Source organism: Homo sapiens, chromosome 22, assembly GCF_000001405.40.
Source record: "Homo sapiens chromosome 22, GRCh38.p14 Primary Assembly".
Classification (NCBI taxonomy): domain Eukaryota; kingdom Metazoa; phylum Chordata; class Mammalia; order Primates; family Hominidae; genus Homo; species Homo sapiens.
In genome coordinates, this window is record NC_000022.11 from 43393273 (window position 1) to 43410677 (window position 17405).

Sequence of the window (17405 nt, forward strand, 5' to 3'; positions counted from 1 at the left end):
GCCTGGGCCGGGCCACTGCCACCCCTCTATTCCCCACTCCCCTTTCCCCTGCTGGGCCCCTCTCAGGAGGCCCCCGGTGAGGTCATCCCTGTGTCAACAGGAGCTGCACAATGGGGCCGGCCTCTTTCTGCTGAAGAGGGAGAATTGGGGTGGGGGAGAAAAAGGCAGGAGACTCTGCAATTACAGGGTCCACAATGGGGCCGTAGTCGAGGGGGCTGGACTGGGTGGCGGGGGGGGGACCTCTGCTAATTAGAGCCGCTGCATGGGGACTCTGTGGTGGGGGAGGGGCTGTGGGCCAGGCAGGGCCTGGGAAGATCAGCCCAGGTGGGTCCTGACGTTCCTAGTTCAATTGTTCGTTCGTTCATCTGTGCCGTAAATATTGCCTGAGCACCTACTATGTGTCAGGCACTGTGTGAAACACCAAGGACACAGCAGGGACCTCAGGGATGGGGCCCTACCCTGATGGAGCCAACCCCGTAGAGGGTAAGACAGAAAGTAAACAGATAAACACACACAACAGATAAATGTGTGCCAGACTTTCAAGACGAGTCGAGTGCCATGAAGGAAATAAAATATCATGAAATCTCAGAGCAGTAGGGGTGTGTGTGGGGTGGGGAAGCAATATTAGCAAGGTGATCAGGGTGGGCTTCTTGGAGGAGGTGATATCTGAGGTGAGATCTGGAAAGCAAGACATGGCAGCCATGTCACAACCAGGGGAGAAATGTTCTGGGCAGAGGACATAGCAGTTCAGTGCAAAGGCCCTGAGGCAGGAACACCCCTGGCATGTGTGAGACCAGAAACATGGTGGGTGTGGCAGGAGAGCAGTGGGTTGGGAAGAGGGGTGGATGGTGGAGAAGGGGAGCTGTGAACAGCTGTGGTGTCATGGAGCTGGCTCTCATCATGCATGACAGTCATCTGTGCATAGCTATTCCCGACACTGCTTAGGTTGGTAGCTTGTGGTAGCTTGAAATCGATCATAGTGGGAGTATTTACACCATGGAAATTGGCAGATGATACAAATCAGGGTTTCTTTATTTTTTTATTTTTGAGACAGAGTCTTGCTCTGTCACCCAGGCTGGAGTGCAGTGGCACAATCTCAGCTCACTGCAACCTCCGCCTCCTGGGTTCAAGCGATTCTCCTGCCTCAGCCTCTTCAGTAGCTGGGATTACAGGCATGCACCACCACACCTGGCTAATATTTGTATTTTTAGTAGAGACAGGGTTTCACCATGTTGGCCAGGCTGGTCTCGAACTCCTGACCTCAGGTGATGCACCCACCTTGGCCTCCCAAAGTGCTGGGATTACAGGCGTGAGCCACCGGGCCTGGCCAAATCAGGGTTTCGAGCGAGATGGCGGGAGACGGAGAATGCATAGGTGTGTAAGAGCATTTTTTCTCTACTATTCACAAATCCAAGGAGTGAAGGGCTAATGAGACTGACATTAATGAAGCTTCTACTGTGTGCTGACACCTCCTAGACCCCTTCATGCACCTTTTCCCATTTAATTCTTGCAAAGAGGTCCAGAGAGGTTAAACAGCATGACCAAGGTGGCCCAGCTCTTACATCAGGGAGTCAGCTCTTGAGCTTATGTGTGCCTGACCCCCTCACCAGGCTCTTCCCACTTTGCCAGGCCTTTTTGCTCCCACATCCACCCTTCTTCATAAGCCAGCTGCATGCTATAGCACTCATCAAAGCCTTTCTCATGTAAGAGCTGGTGTGGGGGACCTGGATGGGGCAATGATAACAGGCACAGCTAATTTCCATTGAGTGCTTACCACCTGCTTGCTGCTGCCTGGAACTCCATCTTGGGTACTTTTTTCCACAGTCCTGTGGCACAGGGCCTGATGTTATCAGCCTCATTTTACAGATGAAGAAACTGAGGCTCAGAGAGGATGCCAGGCCTCCCCTAGGTGCCATGGTTCTCACCACACAGATGAGGGAATGAGGCTGGATCCCAGCTCCTCCTGAATCGCAGGCAGCCTTGGCCAGCAGGCTGCTGGGCTTTCTCTGCCTCCCTTCTTCTTCCTGCTTGTTCCAAGATATGTCATCCTGCCAAGCGCTGGGGCTTAAGGCAGTCGAGACGAGAGTTGGGTCTTGGGGAAATTCTGGGCAGGAGAATGCTGGTGGGGGGGGCTCTGAGAGCAGAGGGGGCTCCTTGTGGCTCCCTCCCACCCCAGCCGCTCAGCGTGGATAGTAGAGGTGACCTTGGTACAGACATGGAGTTTCACCAGCCTGGAAGGGAGGGCCTGGATGCCAGGGGCTGGTGATGTTGTCCCTGTTTCCAGCTCTGCCCAGCACGGCTCCAGCCCAGTGTGGGGGGGTCCGATGGGGCTGAAGCCTTGGGAAACTCGAAGGCCTCTCAGTGGAGGGGACAGCTGGGCCAGACATGTGGACCAGTGGGAGGGATAGCTGTCCTGGCTCTGCCTGAGATGGGACCCCAGGGCTGCCAGCCTCCTAAGGGACAGAGACATTGGGATCGGCCCTGGTGAGCCCTGGGTAGGTCCTCGGGAAGCCACCTCCCTACCACAGTAAAGCACTGTGCCCTCCTCCTTTCACCCGGGCTTGGTGGGTCAAATCCAGGCTCTACCCGGCCTGGTGGCTCAGGCGCGATTTCCTCTTGTATTCCAGGGGTCTGGCAACAGTCATCTCTCAGGGGTTGTGAGGATGAAGGCAGGTGTGTAAGGCACCCTCACCCTCCTCTGGGCCCACAGTTCCTGGCACCTCCCTTGGTCCCAGCACAGTGATGACAGTGAGGTACCACCATCTGTCACCTGCGGAGTTCACAGGCTGTGCTGGGCGCTTTTCTTTAGTTCTTCTTCTTCTTATTTTTTTTTTTTTTTTTTGAGACAGAGTCTTGCTCTGTCGCCCAGGCTGGAGTGCAGTGGCACGATCTCGGTTCACTGCAAGCTGCGCCTCCTGGGTTCATGCCATTCTCCTGCCTCAGCCTACCGAATAGTTGGGACTACAGGCGTCCCCCACCACGCCCATCTAATTTTTCTTTGTATTTTTAGTAGAGACGGGGTTTCACCATGTTAGCCAGGATGGTCTCGATCTCCTGACCTCATGATCTGCCTGCCTCGGCCTCCCAAAGTGCTGGGATTACAGACGTGAGCCACGGCGCCCAGCTGGATACTTTTCTAAATGCTCTACTGCCCTGACTTATTTAATCCTCATGCTGGCCCTGCGAGGTGGAGACTAAGATTGGCATCTTCCCATTTTACAGATGAAGGAGAAAGGGGCCCGGAGCCGCACAGTGATTGCCCGAGGTCACCACCCGGCCCCTGAGTGGTGGGGCTGGGCGCCTGGCTCAGAGCCTGAGGTCCTGGCCTCTCTTCCAGGCTTCTGTTTCGCCCCCTGGGTAGAAGCTGCTCCTTCACCTCCACCACTGGCAGGAGCAGAGAGGCCCAAACCAGGGCTGCTTGTCAAAGGGATGAGGGAGGGCTGGAATGGCCTTTGCTGGGGCGGCGCTCACAGTGATTAGAGTCTGGGGTGATGTGGCAGGCAGGGAGGTGAGGACAGAGAGAGTGGGGAGCTGATGAGGCTGGGGGTGGTGGGCCCTTGGCTGGGGCAGGGCCTGGGGCAGGAAGCAGGATCGGTCCTGCATCTCTGTTAAGAGCCGGGCTGCTCAGCAGCAGGCGCCATGGCAGCCGAATCCCAGGCAGAAGGAAGCAGCCTGCGGAGGGTGAGCAGGCACCAGCGGCTGCCCTGTAGCCAGGGCACTCCGCCGCCACCGCACACGGCACAGGCTGAGCGCTGGGGGCAAATACAGCTCAGCAATGCTCCGCGCTGCGGGTGGCAGCAAGAACCCCTGGGGCTGGGGGCAAACACCAGGCCTGGCACCTGGGCGTCTGCACCTCCCTGAAGCTGAATCCACGGCACAATCTCTGCTCAGCCTCTGTTTGCAGTGTAAACACCCGCTTTCCTGTGCGGGCCGCCTGGTCCTGCCCGCCCTCCCTCACTGCGAGGGGTGCAAGGGGAGGGGCGTCCACTTGGCTCCTGCAGTGTCCTGGGCCCGTGGGTGGCTGTGTTTGAACGTGAGCTTCAGATGGGCTGTTTGTGTGGCACCAATGACTGCCGCCAAAGAGAGGGAGAAGGCTGGGACCACGTTGGCACTGGTCAGCCTGGAGGGTGCAGACACAGGCCAAGGGCTAGCGACAGCCTGGAAAACTGGCATGGTGTGGGCACAGTAAGCAGAGGGCATGGTGCAGACGAAGGCAGGGAACCAGGAACTCAATCCTGGATCACATTTATAGGAAATATCAGGACCCTGGAGTGAGCGATGTGAGGCTGGGCTCTGCACTGGATCACCTGTGCCTCTTTTGCTGGTGCTGAGCTCAATACCTGACATAAACAGGGGCCCTCGCTCTCCAGGCAACTATCCAAAGGGGGGCCCCTTAATCCTCATCTTCCTGGCAGATGGGCATAGAAAGCCCATTTTGCAGATGAGGAAACTGAGGTTTTGACATGGTGTCCGGACTTGCCCAAGGTTGTGCAGGGGGCAGGTGGCAGGTGGCAGAGTCAGAACGGGAATCTTGGTCCAACAAGTGCCAAAGCTCCCACAATAGTCCTGGAATTGCCCTCGTTGAGAACTCAAATGCCCACTGCCTCCTTCCTGAGGTTGTTGGTGTGCAGGGCTGCCGGTGTGCGGGGCTGCTGGTGTGCGGGGTTGCTGGTATGTGGGGTTGCTGGTGTTGGCTTGCTAGTGAGTGTGGTTGCTGTTCTCTGGAGTTCATTTGCTGGTGGTGACCAGAGTGGGCATCTGCCCAGGACATCCGGGGCTTGGCAGGAGCTGACCCCACCTGAGGCCTCCATGTGAGAGCTGGGGCACCTGCAGGCTGGGCTCTTCCTGGCCTCCCCAGGCCGGGCTAAAGAGGGCATCATGGTCAAGCAGAGGTCTGGCTCAGGCCCCTGGAAGGAGGGCCAAGGCCTGAGGAGAGGAAGTCTAACCAGTCTCCCCCACTATGGCCATGACATTCACTGGAAGTAGCAGTTGGGATGTGGTCAGGGCCAGGAAGAGAGGCTGGACACCAAGGTCCTGATCCTGGTCCCAGCTCTGCCATGGATGTGCCCCTTGGATGAGCTGCTTCCCCTCATTTTCCATCTGTCAAATGTGGATGACCTTGGCTTTGCTAGGTGGCCCTGGGAACACAGCACAGCCATTTCCCAACACATTTCAGACAGTGGTCTCTTCTAGCCAAGGAAACCTCTGCCCCCGATGGACACTGGAGTCATTATTCTCAACATAATGGAGGATCGCTCCCGAGTGCTGGAGACTCAGAGGCATAGGGAGATGCCTCGTTTTTCGGGGGATGTCTCCCCTTCTTATCACCATCATCCTAGCCCCCATGGGGACCCTCTCCTCAAGGTCCCCTATGGCATCCCATTGCTAAGTCCAAGTTCTCCTACAGGATCTGGTCTCACCCCTCCCTGCTCTCCCCGCACTCCTTCCTCTGCACCCTTCTCCTGGATTTTGGGTTCCTCAGGACCCAGTCCTGGCCCCCTCTCTTCTGGCCATTTCCTATAAGATCCTGACTACTCCCGTGGCCTCCTGGGCCACCTGTGTCACTGCCAGTCACCCCTAAGTCCCCGATCAAAGCTCAGGCCTCTCTCCTTGTGGCCCCTGCCCTCTAGCCAGCTCTCTTGTGTACCCCACAGAACCTCATGCTCAAGTGTTTCCAACTGAACTCTTCATCCTCCCCCTAGCTGGCTTCCTGCCCTCGATCCCCCCATGTCACCCAGCGAGCCCCACTGGGTGTCCTGGAGGAGCCCAGGCCGGTGGCTCCTCTCCCTCTACCTGTCCTCAGTGGCCTGGGTTCAGCTGCTCACCCTCTATCTCTCCCTGTCCACTCCCTCCCTCCTCCCAGTCATCTCCTGGGCTCCTATTACCAGTGTCATTGTTGGAAACAGGGGTCTCTCATGTCTGTCTTGCTGCATGGACCGAAGTCCGTCGGCCGCCTCGGGGGTCCTCTCCATTGGGACATTACCCTACTTCCTCTCCACCAGGGCACACCTGGTACACACCTCCACTGGGGACCTACCACACCTCTTCTTCCTCCTCTTCACCAGGGCACACGTGGCTCCCTCCCACTGCAGGGCCTTTGTCTGGGTTGATCCAGAGACGCAAGGACACAGTGCCCAGGGATCTTTCCTTGGGGGCCTGTCCACCTCCCTCCTGTAAAATGGGAAGCTGCGTGTCGGTGACTGCCTCGCCCACAGGCTCTTTCTTCTCTGGGACTGGCCAGACTCCCTCCAGATGGCCCCACCCCTGCCATGGCTGATTGGTCCAGGCTGGACACGTGACCCAAGTGAAACCCAATGGGATTCTCTCCTGTGATTCTGAACCCGGGGAGGAGACCTGGAGCCTGGAGGTGGCAGCGACTTGGGAGCCGCGTGGGCCTGTCTGTTCCACACACTGCCTTCTTGCCCCTTCCTTCAACCTATGGCCCCCTCAGAGGACAACCTTTTTCCTTAAACTCCTCGGACGAGGTTCCTGTGGCAGCCGAGAGAGTCACGCAGCGGGGGTGCCTTCCCCGCCTGTGGGGGAGCCCCAGGCGGCCCGCACAGTCTCGTGGTGGTCGGGCCTGGCCACGTGTGCTCCTCGGTCCCCATGTGGCCCCAGCAGGGCGCCCGCCTCCCTCCCAGGGCTTCCTCCCCCAGGAGGGATAGCAGGAAGGCAGGCAAGGACAGGACCTGAGTCCACACCTCGTCCGCGGTCACCTGCCTGACCAGGAGGAAGGGGAGGGGACAGGAGTGATTCCACGGAGGTCACCTGGGAGCTGGGGCTGGGCGACCCCAGGGCTGGATGACCTCAGGGCTGGGTGACCTCAGGGCTGGGTGATCTCAGGGCTGGGTGACTTCAAGGCTGGGTGACCTCAGGGCTGGATGACCTCAGGGCTGGGTGACCCCAGGGCTGACTATTGGCGGAGCACCTGGGGTGGGTGCCATGGGCACCTGAGAGGGAACTTTGACCTGAGCGGAGGTCAGAACCCTCCTCTGAGGAAGTGCCCCACCCCACTGAGCTCCCAGAGGCTGGTGGCAGGTTGAACAGGGGACTATGCCAGCAGAGGGACTGCCTTCCAGAGACTTTGGATCATCACCACGATGGGTTGATTTTACAAATTTAGCCACTGTCACCGGAGGCCTGGCTGAACTTCAGAGTTTCTTCTCCAGCGTCGGTTTCTTGGTTTGTAATGGGGAGGGCTGGATCCCCCTGCACTGATACTCCCATGGCATGGCTGCGGGAGGGGCGCCCATCCTGCTGGCCTGGTGGCTGTGGAGCGGCCGGAGGTGGCGTGTGCCAAAGCTGCTGCTGGTGCTCCCTCTGGCTGCCTTGGGGTGATGACAGGAGCTGACGGCTTGGCAGCAGCTCCCAGGGAGGCAGCAGCCGGGCTGGCGGCGGGTGGTGGCGGTGGTGGGAGGGGGCTTCTGGAGAGAACAAAGCACTGAGGATGCTGGGCTCCAGGGGCGACAGAGGAGTGGGGGATGGGGGCAGGGTTCTGGAGTGTGTGGCCCACAGGGAGGCCATGGCACGGGTGTGTGTGCGGGTGTAGGATTTGGAACCCACCTCGTGGTTGTGTGAGCCCAGGCAGGTCACTTAGCCTCTCTGGGCCTCAGTTTCCACAGTTGTGCAATTGGAACAATACCATCATTACATTATTGTATCCCCAGTGCTGAGAGTAGTGAGTGGCACAGAGTAGGCATTCACTGAATTTTTCTGGAGTCAACAAATCAATAGGTTTGATGGAAGACGGAACTGGCTAATTCATGCTCAGCTCAGTGATGGGCCCATGTTCGTTCTAGAGAAGCAGTATCTTTGTTATTGCTGCTGTGATTGTTTATCAAGGGTGCAGAGGACTGAGCCAGCATGGAGTCCCAGGGCAGGAGAAGAAAGTTGGTCAGTGCATCTGGATGAGGCTGGACTCTGGGACCAGACCATGGAGACTTGAGGGCCACAGCCGGGCGGCTGAGAGTGGGGGAGGGGCCCATATGCCAGGAGTGAGCAGGATGAGGTCTGAGCAAGACCACACTAGACACCAGGGAGAACGTTGGTGGCCCTGGCCTGGCCTGAGGAGGCAGGGAAGCAGAGAGGGCACCTGCGATGGCTGTTTAAGGAAACTCAGTTGAGGAGGTGGATGAGATGGGGCAGGAGTAGGAGGGTGAGGTGGGAGGGACAGAGGCCTGTTTCTTAGGTCAGTTGATGCGAGCAAGTATGAATGCAGATGGAGAGGGGTGGGTGCACCGGGCGTACCTGAAGGTGTGGAGAAGTGGGGTACCAAGTAGAGGGCTCTTGAGGGAGGCAGACACTGGAGGGGAGAGAGGAGTTTCAGGAAGGGCTGCAGCTTAGGGTTTAGGCTGGTGAGGGTTTCCTTGGTTCAGTGAGATACAAAGTATGCTTGTCTTCAAGGCAGAGAACTGGAGACCCCACGAGCTGTGAGGAGAGGAAGGTCTGGGGAGAGATGGCAGTGTGGAGGTGGCAGAGCCCTGCTGGACCACAGTGTGGCCCTGGTCAGCTCCAGACCCAGCCCTACAGGGACGTAATTGCCTCTGGGAGCCCAGTGGGTCTTTCACAGGGAGATACCAGCTTCTGTGGCAAGCTTTGAGATAACCATCCAAACTTCCAGCTGCCATTTTGCCTGTGGGGCACAGGTTCTGGGGGCACCCTGCAAGGCTGGCAGTCCCCAGGGCTCCATTGCATTTTGGGGAAACTGAGTGGTGGACACTGGGGTGGGGACAGGGAGCAGGAACTCCAGGCCTGGCCTGGTGCGGAGGCTGCTTTACCAGTTTGCTGTATGCATGGGTCAGTTCACCTCTTTGTTCACTTATATGCCCACAGATTGCCTAAAGTTCCTTCCAGTCTAATACTCTGGGATTCTGGGCCAGTTTCTGGTCTGTCACAGCTGAATAAGAGTGCAAGGGCAGGAGTGGAATGTTCAGACTGCTCCAAGAGGACCTTGGCCCAGGTAGGAGTGGCGAGTGGATATTGTTTCTAGGGCCAAGCCCTCAGAATGGCTGCCTGGAGCCCTGTGCAAGGATTCTAGTTTAATAGGAAAGAGTTCTGTGATTGATTAGTGATGTCTGCTGTGGACACACAGTGGGAGGTATAGAGTTTGAGTAGTTTCTGCACTGCCCCTGCCTGGGCTTTTTCTTTTGCTAGTGGCACTAGAACTGGGTGCCACTCCAGCCCTACCAGAGACTCAAGGTGTGACCTTGGGTAAGTCCATTCTTCCAGCCCAATTTTGTCATCTGTAAACTGGAGATAATACTGCCATCTTTCCTGGTGGTTATGAGGATTAAATGCATAATTTGTGCAGAGTGACCAGCTCAAGGGGGATGCTCAAACATAGCAGCTTTGATCTCTGTGAGTGGTTTGCAGGGTCAGGGTGGTCAGGGGAGTATAGGGATGGGAGTCAGGAGGGAGGCTGAGCGCTGTCCCCTTGGGTGATGGCCTGGGGACTGCACATGCACACATACCTTTCTCCTCCCCTCTGCTGCCTGCAGAGTGGTGTCAGGGAGTGGAAGTATGTGGAGGTTGGGGTCATGCAGATCTGGGCAGGGTTGCAATGCACCCTTGGCCAAGTCATTCAGTGCCTCTGACCTCACTTGACTCATTGGCAAAATAGATTCTTTCCTGATGAATTAGATAGTAAAGTTTATCAGCAGCCTCTGCAGCCTCAGGTAATAGGCATTAACAATCCTGGACAGAAAACATAAAAGTTTCTTTTTAGTCTTGCCCTCACACCTTGACCTCCTCTTCAGGAGCCATTTATCCTTTCCTGGAATCTGAGGAGAGAATATTTCCTCTCCTACACTTCCTTCTTCTTCAGCATGGGTCTCAGTTTTCCTATTTGTACAGTGGAGGAATAGAGTGGGGTTGGAGAAGGGCACTGAGGTCCCCACCAGGTCTAACTTTATTCTTTTTTTTTTTTTTTTGAGACAGAGTCTCACTCTGTTGCCCAGGCTGGAGTGCAGTGGTATGATCTCAGCTCACTGTAACCTCTGCCTCCTGGGTTCAAGTGATTCTCGTGCCTCAGCCTCCTGAGTAGCTGGGATTACAAGTGCCCGCCACCACACGTGGCTAATTTTTGTATTTTTAGTAGAGACAGGGTTTCACCATGTTGGCCAGGCTGGTCTTGAACTCTTGACCTCAGGTGATCCACCCGCCTCAGTCTTCCAAAGTGCTGAGATCACAGGCTTGGGCCACTGGACCTTAATTCAACTACGCTGTTAGAAAATAGCTGGAAACATTTGGAGTAGGGTGTGAATGACTGCCATGGCAGACACATGACACTGCCTAGCTGGGTTCTGTGTCATCCACACCCTGCTAAGAGCTGCATTTGGCCTGAGCTGGTCTGGCTTCCTCACCTTGAGGGGAAAGAGAGACTGGGGCTCATCCAGAGAAGGGCAGGGGTGTGCAGCCAGGTTAGCCAAGACAGCTGCAGGGCAGGCTGTGGAGCCTGGGGAGGAAGAGGCTCAGGGAGTTCCACTGATGGCCCCAAGGCTCCCTGGGGAACCCAGGAGGGAGCTGAGGGTGCTGTGCAGTCCTGGAGGTGGAGTGAGAAGCAAAGGGAGAAGTTCCAAGCTCAACAGAAGAAAAAACTTCTCACAGGTAGATGTTCCCAAAGGTAGAACAGGTCCCAGGCAGGGGAAAAGCAGTGGGCAAAGGGAGCAGGTGGACCTTGCAGGAATGCAGGGGAGAGGCCTATTTTCTGAGGAGGGCAGCAGGGGGCAGCTGCAAAGTTTGTCTGGTGCTATTTCCCCAGCACTGCTCCTTCTCCCCAGCTCTACTGTCCCTTCCCCACCTCTTCTGTCCCTCCCCCACCTCTACTGTCCCTCCCCAGCTCTCCTGTCCCTCCTCCAGTCCTACTGTCCCTCCCCCAGCTCTACTGTCCCTCCTCCACCTCTTCTGTCCCTCCCCCAGCTCTCCTGTCCCTCCCCAGCTTCTGTCCCTCCCCCACCTCTACTGTCCCTCCCCCAGCTCTCCTGTCCCTCCCCAGCTTCTCTGTCCCTCCCCTACCTCTACTGTCCTTCCCCAGCTCTCCTGACCCTCCCCCCGGCTCCACTGTACCTCCCCAGCTCTCCTGACCCTCCCCACCTCAATTATCCCTTCCCTAGCTCTCCTGTTCTTCCCCAGCTCCTCTGTGCCTCCCCCAGCTCTGTGATCTCTCCCAAGTTCTCCTGCATTGTCTCCTTGGGAAAGTGCCTCTCACCATTGGATAATGGCTTCCGTTTTAGGGTGCTTTCCCAGGATCCTCTGTCTGATGCATCCTGGTGCATGCTGTGTTGACTGAGTGTCTTCTGGGTAGTAGGAATGGAGATGCAGGTCCCATAGTGCATAGCATGGGACCTGTTGTGGTTGGGGAGGCTGGGGCAGGCACCTGCTGGCTGTCCTGGGGACCACCGCTGATTGGTACTTGCTGGAATCAGAGCTGGCACTAGGCAGTTCACGGTCCTGATTCCATGCCATTGGCACAACCTTGCAGGGCAGTGTCTTTTCCTTCATGTTACAGGTGAGGCAGCAGGCCGGCACCCTGCCCACAACCACATAGAGGGCCCAGGCTTGTCTGACGCCTCAGGCTGTGCTCTCTCCAGCTCACTGCGGTGCCTCTCCCAGGTGAGGGATACTGGGAGTGGGACTTCTGGCAGGAGAGGAATGGGGTGGGGCTCTGGGTGGTGCTGGTTTGGGCTCTCAGAAGGCGCCTGCATGGCGGGAAGCCTCAGCTGTGTGCTGCTGGACCTCAGGCCCATCCAGCTGCCTCCTTCGCTCTTGATTCCACCCAAGGTTCACAGGCCCAGACCCTACCACTGGCCGTGGGCCAAGGTCGAGGACAGAGCAGCCACAGCCTATGGTGGGCCAGGAGGGGGAGGTTGCCTGGGTGAGCATATCTTTGGCAGGACAGGCAGGACCCCCTCCCCAAACAGGATGCTGGGCAGGGTGAGCCGGGAGCTCAGTGAGGCCTGAGGGTGGGGAGGGCCGGAGGGACTGCAGGCGGATTCGGGAGCAGGTGGACAGGACCTGGGTACTGCCCGATGCAGGAGTAAGGGACAGGGGACAGGGCATGGGGATGCACAGATTTTGGTTCTCACTGCCCTGGAAGAAGCTGCCCGCTCTGAGCTGCTGCCTCCTGCCTTCATCTTCCAGCCCTCTGCACCCCCGAACATTCGCTGCAGGGTCTGCTTGGTCCTGGCCAGGACACTCGTGCCAAGACTCAGGCCCATGTCCCGAGCCCTTTCTTATCCGAGCCACCCATGGACCTGTCTGGTGTGGGTGAGGGTGGTGTTTGGGGCTGGGGGTGGGCAGAGATCTGGGTCTGGGCTTTCATGGCTGGAGCCAGGACCTCCCTCACTCATCCCTTTCCTGGGTCCCAGGAGCAAACCCTGTTTGGCTCCTTCTTTCCCCACATTTGACTCTGGCACCACTGTTGACCTGGCTCTGGGGTCAGACTACTGGACTTGAACCCAGGGTTCCTGCTGCTGGCCCCCACACCTGGGCCTTCTGTGGGTGGCATGGGCAAATGAGCCTGCGGTAGGGGCAGCTCTGGAGATGTCAATCCCAGAGAGAAGAGGACACAGGGGACCTGCCATGAGCTGGTGAGCTCACCCAAACTCCCACGGTAGGGAAAAATGTCCCCAGTGATAAGGGCCTGGTTTTCAGAGCCTGATGCCCCAGGCTCTGCAACTTACTCTCTGGGTGGGGATACTGAGCTCGGGGATGTTAGACAAATCAGAAGCTCAGCTGGAGGGGGTGACTGGAAGCCTGTGGACCTCATAGTGTCCCAGTTCATGCCACCGTTGCCACCACTCCACAGTGAACAGGTTGGGTGGTCATGAGGATTGAATGAGGAGCCCAGCACAGCCCCTAGGCTGAGCAAATGCTTAGCAAGGGTCAGCTGGTGTTGTGGAGACTGCGATGCCACAAGCCATGTAGCTCTGGCCTTTCTGCCTCGGGGGGACCCCTCCTCGCTATCCCTCTGTCCCCGCCCCACACTCTGTCCCTTGGATTGCTGCCTCTGCTTTGCACTTGGCTTTCAGTCTTCCGCCTCTGCCCACTGCCTGAGGGATCTCCCCAGGGCGGGTCCTGGCCCCGACCACTTTCCCTGGTGTTCTTCTCTGTGGCCACTGACAGTGCAGCGAAGAGGGGCCGCCTCTGCCTCCCAGGCACTCTCTGAGCAAGCCTCCCCTTTGGTTCCTGCCTCTAGGCCTTTGCTTCTGCTCCCTCTGCCCGTTATGCCCTCTCTGCCCTTGTCAAGGGCACTCTCCAAGCTCCTCTCCTCTCTGCTTTCCAGGAGGGACGGGAGGCCCCACTGTGCTCCTCAGCCCGTGTGCCCCTCGGCCTGGCAGGGCATGGTCATTGTGTTCTCAAGCCTCACAGCCTCTGGACCTCTTGCTCAAGGGCAGGGCTGGGCCCAAATGCCTCTGAGTCTCTGGCTTTGCTTGGCCCAGAGGAGGAGGCAGAGACAACTGCAGAGGTGGGCTGAGTCTGAACCACCTCCTGGCTTGCCCCATGCTGTGCCCATTTTTCAGAAAAGGAAACTGAGGCCCTGAGTGTTGAAGTGTGGTGTCCAAGGGTACACAGGCAGCATAGGACCGGAAGACCTGGGCCAGGCCCGGCATCACATAGTCCCACTTTTCTTTTTTCTTTTTTTTTAGATGGAGTCTTGTTCTTGTCACCTGGGCTGGAGTGCGATGGCACGATCTCGGCTCACTTCAACCTCTGCCTCCCGGGTTCAAGCGATTCTCCTCTCTCAGCCTCCTGAGTAGCTGGGACTACAGGCATGCACAACCATGCCCAGCTAATTTTTGTATTTTTAGTAGATACGGGGTTTCACCATGTTGGTCGGGCTGGTCTCAAACTCCTGATCTCAGACGATCCACCCATCTCGGCCTCCCAAAGTGCTGGGATTACAGGCATGAGCCACCAAGCCCAGCCACATGTTCCCACTTTTTGTTGCTACCCAGGAAGTCAGAGAGGTGGCAGCCAGGGAAGGATCAGAGAAGGCCTTGAGGCAGGGCTGGGCATGGCCAGGACCCTGGACAGCTCAGAAGAGCCCATCTGCCCGTAGCAGTGCTGGGATGGTAGCTGAGATGTGCTGGGGGCCTCAGCAGGGTTTGAAGGAGTTGGTCTGGCACCAGGTGGGGGGCAGGGGAGCTGGGTGGAGGGAAGAGCGGGTGTCTTAGAGTCTGAAGATGGGCCTTGTTATCTCAACTTTATACCAGCTGGGCAGGTCTCGAAACCTCTTGGAGCCTCGGTTTTTTCATCTATAAAATGGGATTTCTAGTCTCCCTTCACAGGGAGGGCTGCCCCTCACTGAGGTCCCAACCAGGCTGTTGTGAGAAATAAACCAGCTAGAAGCCATCTGGAGAAGTTCTCTCAAACAGCAAAGGGCTCAGAGGCAGCATGTGAGGGGCCAAGAGCCATAGGTACCGTGAGCTCAGGCCACCCACAGGGGAGGCTTGGAAGTGGTGACTGGAGGACCAGGAGTGGCACCAGGAGCAGCCCCCACCTCGGGAGCATATCCTCCTGGCTCCTGCAGACTGCACAGGAGCCCGGCCCTGCCTGGGCTTGGCCTCCATCCAGCTCCTGCCTGGCTTTCTGGGTGATGGCCTGGAGTTACATGGCAGGGAATGCTGCAGAGTGGGGTGGGCGTCTCATGTGGCCAGTGGTCCAATTGGAACTCTAGCTGGGGGCAGGAGGAGGGAGCTCCTGGGGTCTTTCCATAGCTTGTCATTTCATCTATGAGCAAGCTCAGGAGTGAGCCTTCCCATCCCCTTTCTCCTCGAGCTGAGGAAACTGAGGCTCAGAGAAACATGAGAATGTCCCAAGGTCCCAAGCAAGTTAGTAACAGAACTGGGTTTTAGAATCCAGATCCCCAGACCTGGTATCTAGAACTGTGACAGTGTGAGCTGCCACTGCTTGCTGAATGTTTACTGTGCACCTTGCACTCTGCATGTGCACGGCCCTTGAGGTAGGGATTATTGCATCAGCTTTACAGAAGAGACTGAGGTTCAGACTCATGAGCTGTTAAATGGCAAAAGCAGAATTTGGTTAGGGCATGGTTTAAGAGTAGGTATAGTCATTGCAGGCTGTACCTGAGCCTGCTGGAGGTGAGCAGGGCCCAGGGTCCCTGATAAGGTGTGGCTTTTCCACCTTGGGCTCTAGGCCTAGAGGAAGGCCCAGGATGAGGACCATGCCAGATAGCTGGACTAAAATTGACCCTGCCCTGGGCTGTGTCAGGATCCACACAGACCTGGCTGGCAGGTAGAGACCTTGTTGGGGTCTAATAGGGCCGAGGTGGGGATATGAAACTAGGGCTCCATCCTTCAAGACCCAGCTTGCGTCACCTCCTCTTGGGAGCCTCTCCCAAGCCCCAGCCCATGATGACTTTCATGTCCTCTGAACTCCTCTGCCCTTCTCTGCCAGAGTGATTCCTGGGGCCTAAAACAGTGCATGTGGATATTTGCTGATTAATAACATTTCTGGCATGCTGGCTGTGAGCCAGTCACCATGAAGGACCCGAGGAAGGCATGAAAGCTTAGGTCACTCTGTCAGCGAAGCCACCCAGGCCTCCAGCTCATCCCAGCCCTTGCCCTGCAGGGACCCCACACACCCCACACCCCTCCTTGAATGCCCCACACTCACCATCCTTCGTGACATCCTGATGATCGCGGGAAAGTAGGAGACAAAAAATTCCCATAAATAAAGTAGACTCCCCCAACCCCCACCCAAAATCTTATCATCAGGGTTGAAATTTTGCTGTATTTACTTCCTGACTTCTTTCTCCTCTTTCCCTCTATTTTTTCATTTTTCAAAACACAGATTCGGGCACACTCTGGTGTAACCTGCTTCGCTCGTTCGCGGGATGGGTGGTGAGCATGGAGCCCATTTTCCCATGTGGCATTTCAGCAACAGGACTTGGCTATTTGAAACTCCCCAGACATAGCAGGATTTAAAAAACGGATCCCCTCTGGCTGGGCATTTAGGTTGCTTTCACTTCTGGGCTGCTATAAACAGCCTGCAGTTACTGCCTCAGGACGCCTTTCTGGAAGGTGAGTTTCTTGGCCAGGGGATATCGCACATGCACTTTGGAGCCTCTGAGCCTTTGCACAGGCTGGTCCCTTTGCCTGGCTGCCCCTCTCCCATTTATCCCTAGATTCTTCTGCAGCACACACACTGCCTCCTCTGAAGTGTCCTGGCTGCATGTGCTGCTCTCCTTGCCCTGGGCTGCCCTCTTCTCCCTGGTGTCATGAGTATCTGCTGACCTTCTGCTTCTCCCATGACAGAGTGCCTTCCTTCTCTTCCTTCTCTGCCTTGGCCTCCAGCACGTAGTAGGCGCCTAGGAAATGTTTTCCAGCAGAACGAGCCATCTCCTGGCTGGTTTAGCAGTGTGGGATTGTGTGGTGTTTCTATTAGTCTCCATGAACAAGTGCCACTGTGTTATTAAATTTTTCCAAAAGCAGAATGTGTGCTGTGTTTGCCAGAATGGTTGCTCTTTTAGGAGTGGGTCTATCCTGCCCATCCCACACTCCTCATTCCCTCATCTTTTAGGGACCATTCCCTGGGCACCTACAGAGTGCCAGGCCCTGTGGGATGCAGCACTAGGCGCTGGGGAGGCTGACCTCTGGGATGCAGCCTGGCCCAGGGGAGGCATGAGGGCTACATAAGACAGTGTGGGTCAAGCTGAGAGCTCTGCGCCTGGGACTGGGTGGTGCAGGTAGCACCAGGTCCCTCTGGTGGAGAGCTCATGCTTGGCTTCAAAGCAAGTGCCGAGTGCCAGGAATATGGTAGATGCTCAATAAATGTGTACCCTGGGAAGGTAAGAGATGATGCTCTGGGACTTGAGGGTAGTTCTGGTAGGACTGGAGGTGGTGGGGAAGCTGGCCTTGGAGGACAAGTGTCACAGGAACCTCTGCTCTCGACCCAGGGACCAGGAAGGCACATTTGTCACTGTCCTTTGTGATCTCCAGAGGCCACAGCCAAGCTGTGGCTTTGTCCCAGGCAGGCGGCAGGTGGGGTCTGCTGAGACACTGAGTCCAAGCCGCCTTCCCAGGCAGGCATGACAGTTTTCTCCTTCACCTCCCTCGAAGTCACGGTGCTCAGGAAGCCTGTAGCCTAGGAGGAGAAAGAGGCTCCCGGGTTGAGTTTGGGATTCCCTGAGAGAGAATTGGGGTCTAAAGACAAGGAAGCAGGAGGGGGTGACTGCCTCAGGACTCCTCGGCCAGCCCTTGCCCCCCATCTCTGGCCTGAGGGCCCCAGGCCTCCATCCTCTCCCTCCATAGCCCAGCCTCTCCCCCTCTACCTCTGTCTTTAGAGGTGCCAGAACAAGCTGTAAAAAGATAAACGTGACCAAGTCACAGCCCTGCTTAAAAACCCTCTATGGCTCCCACTGCCCCTGATAAAGTCTATCCAAG

General features: G+C 56.9%; 1 long non-coding RNA gene across 1 annotated transcript; it reads left to right on the forward strand.

Annotated features, from left to right (window-relative positions):
* The first annotated feature begins 7058 nt into the window (after positions 1-7058).
* LINC01639 (long intergenic non-protein coding RNA 1639) lies at positions 7059-16409 on the forward strand. The gene is made up of 4 exons (NR_146918.1): positions 7059-7182; positions 8833-8959; positions 11507-11610; positions 15814-16409. It is a non-coding gene; the product is annotated as a long intergenic non-protein coding RNA 1639 (long non-coding RNA).
* Positions 16410-17405: the final 996 nt, after the last annotated feature.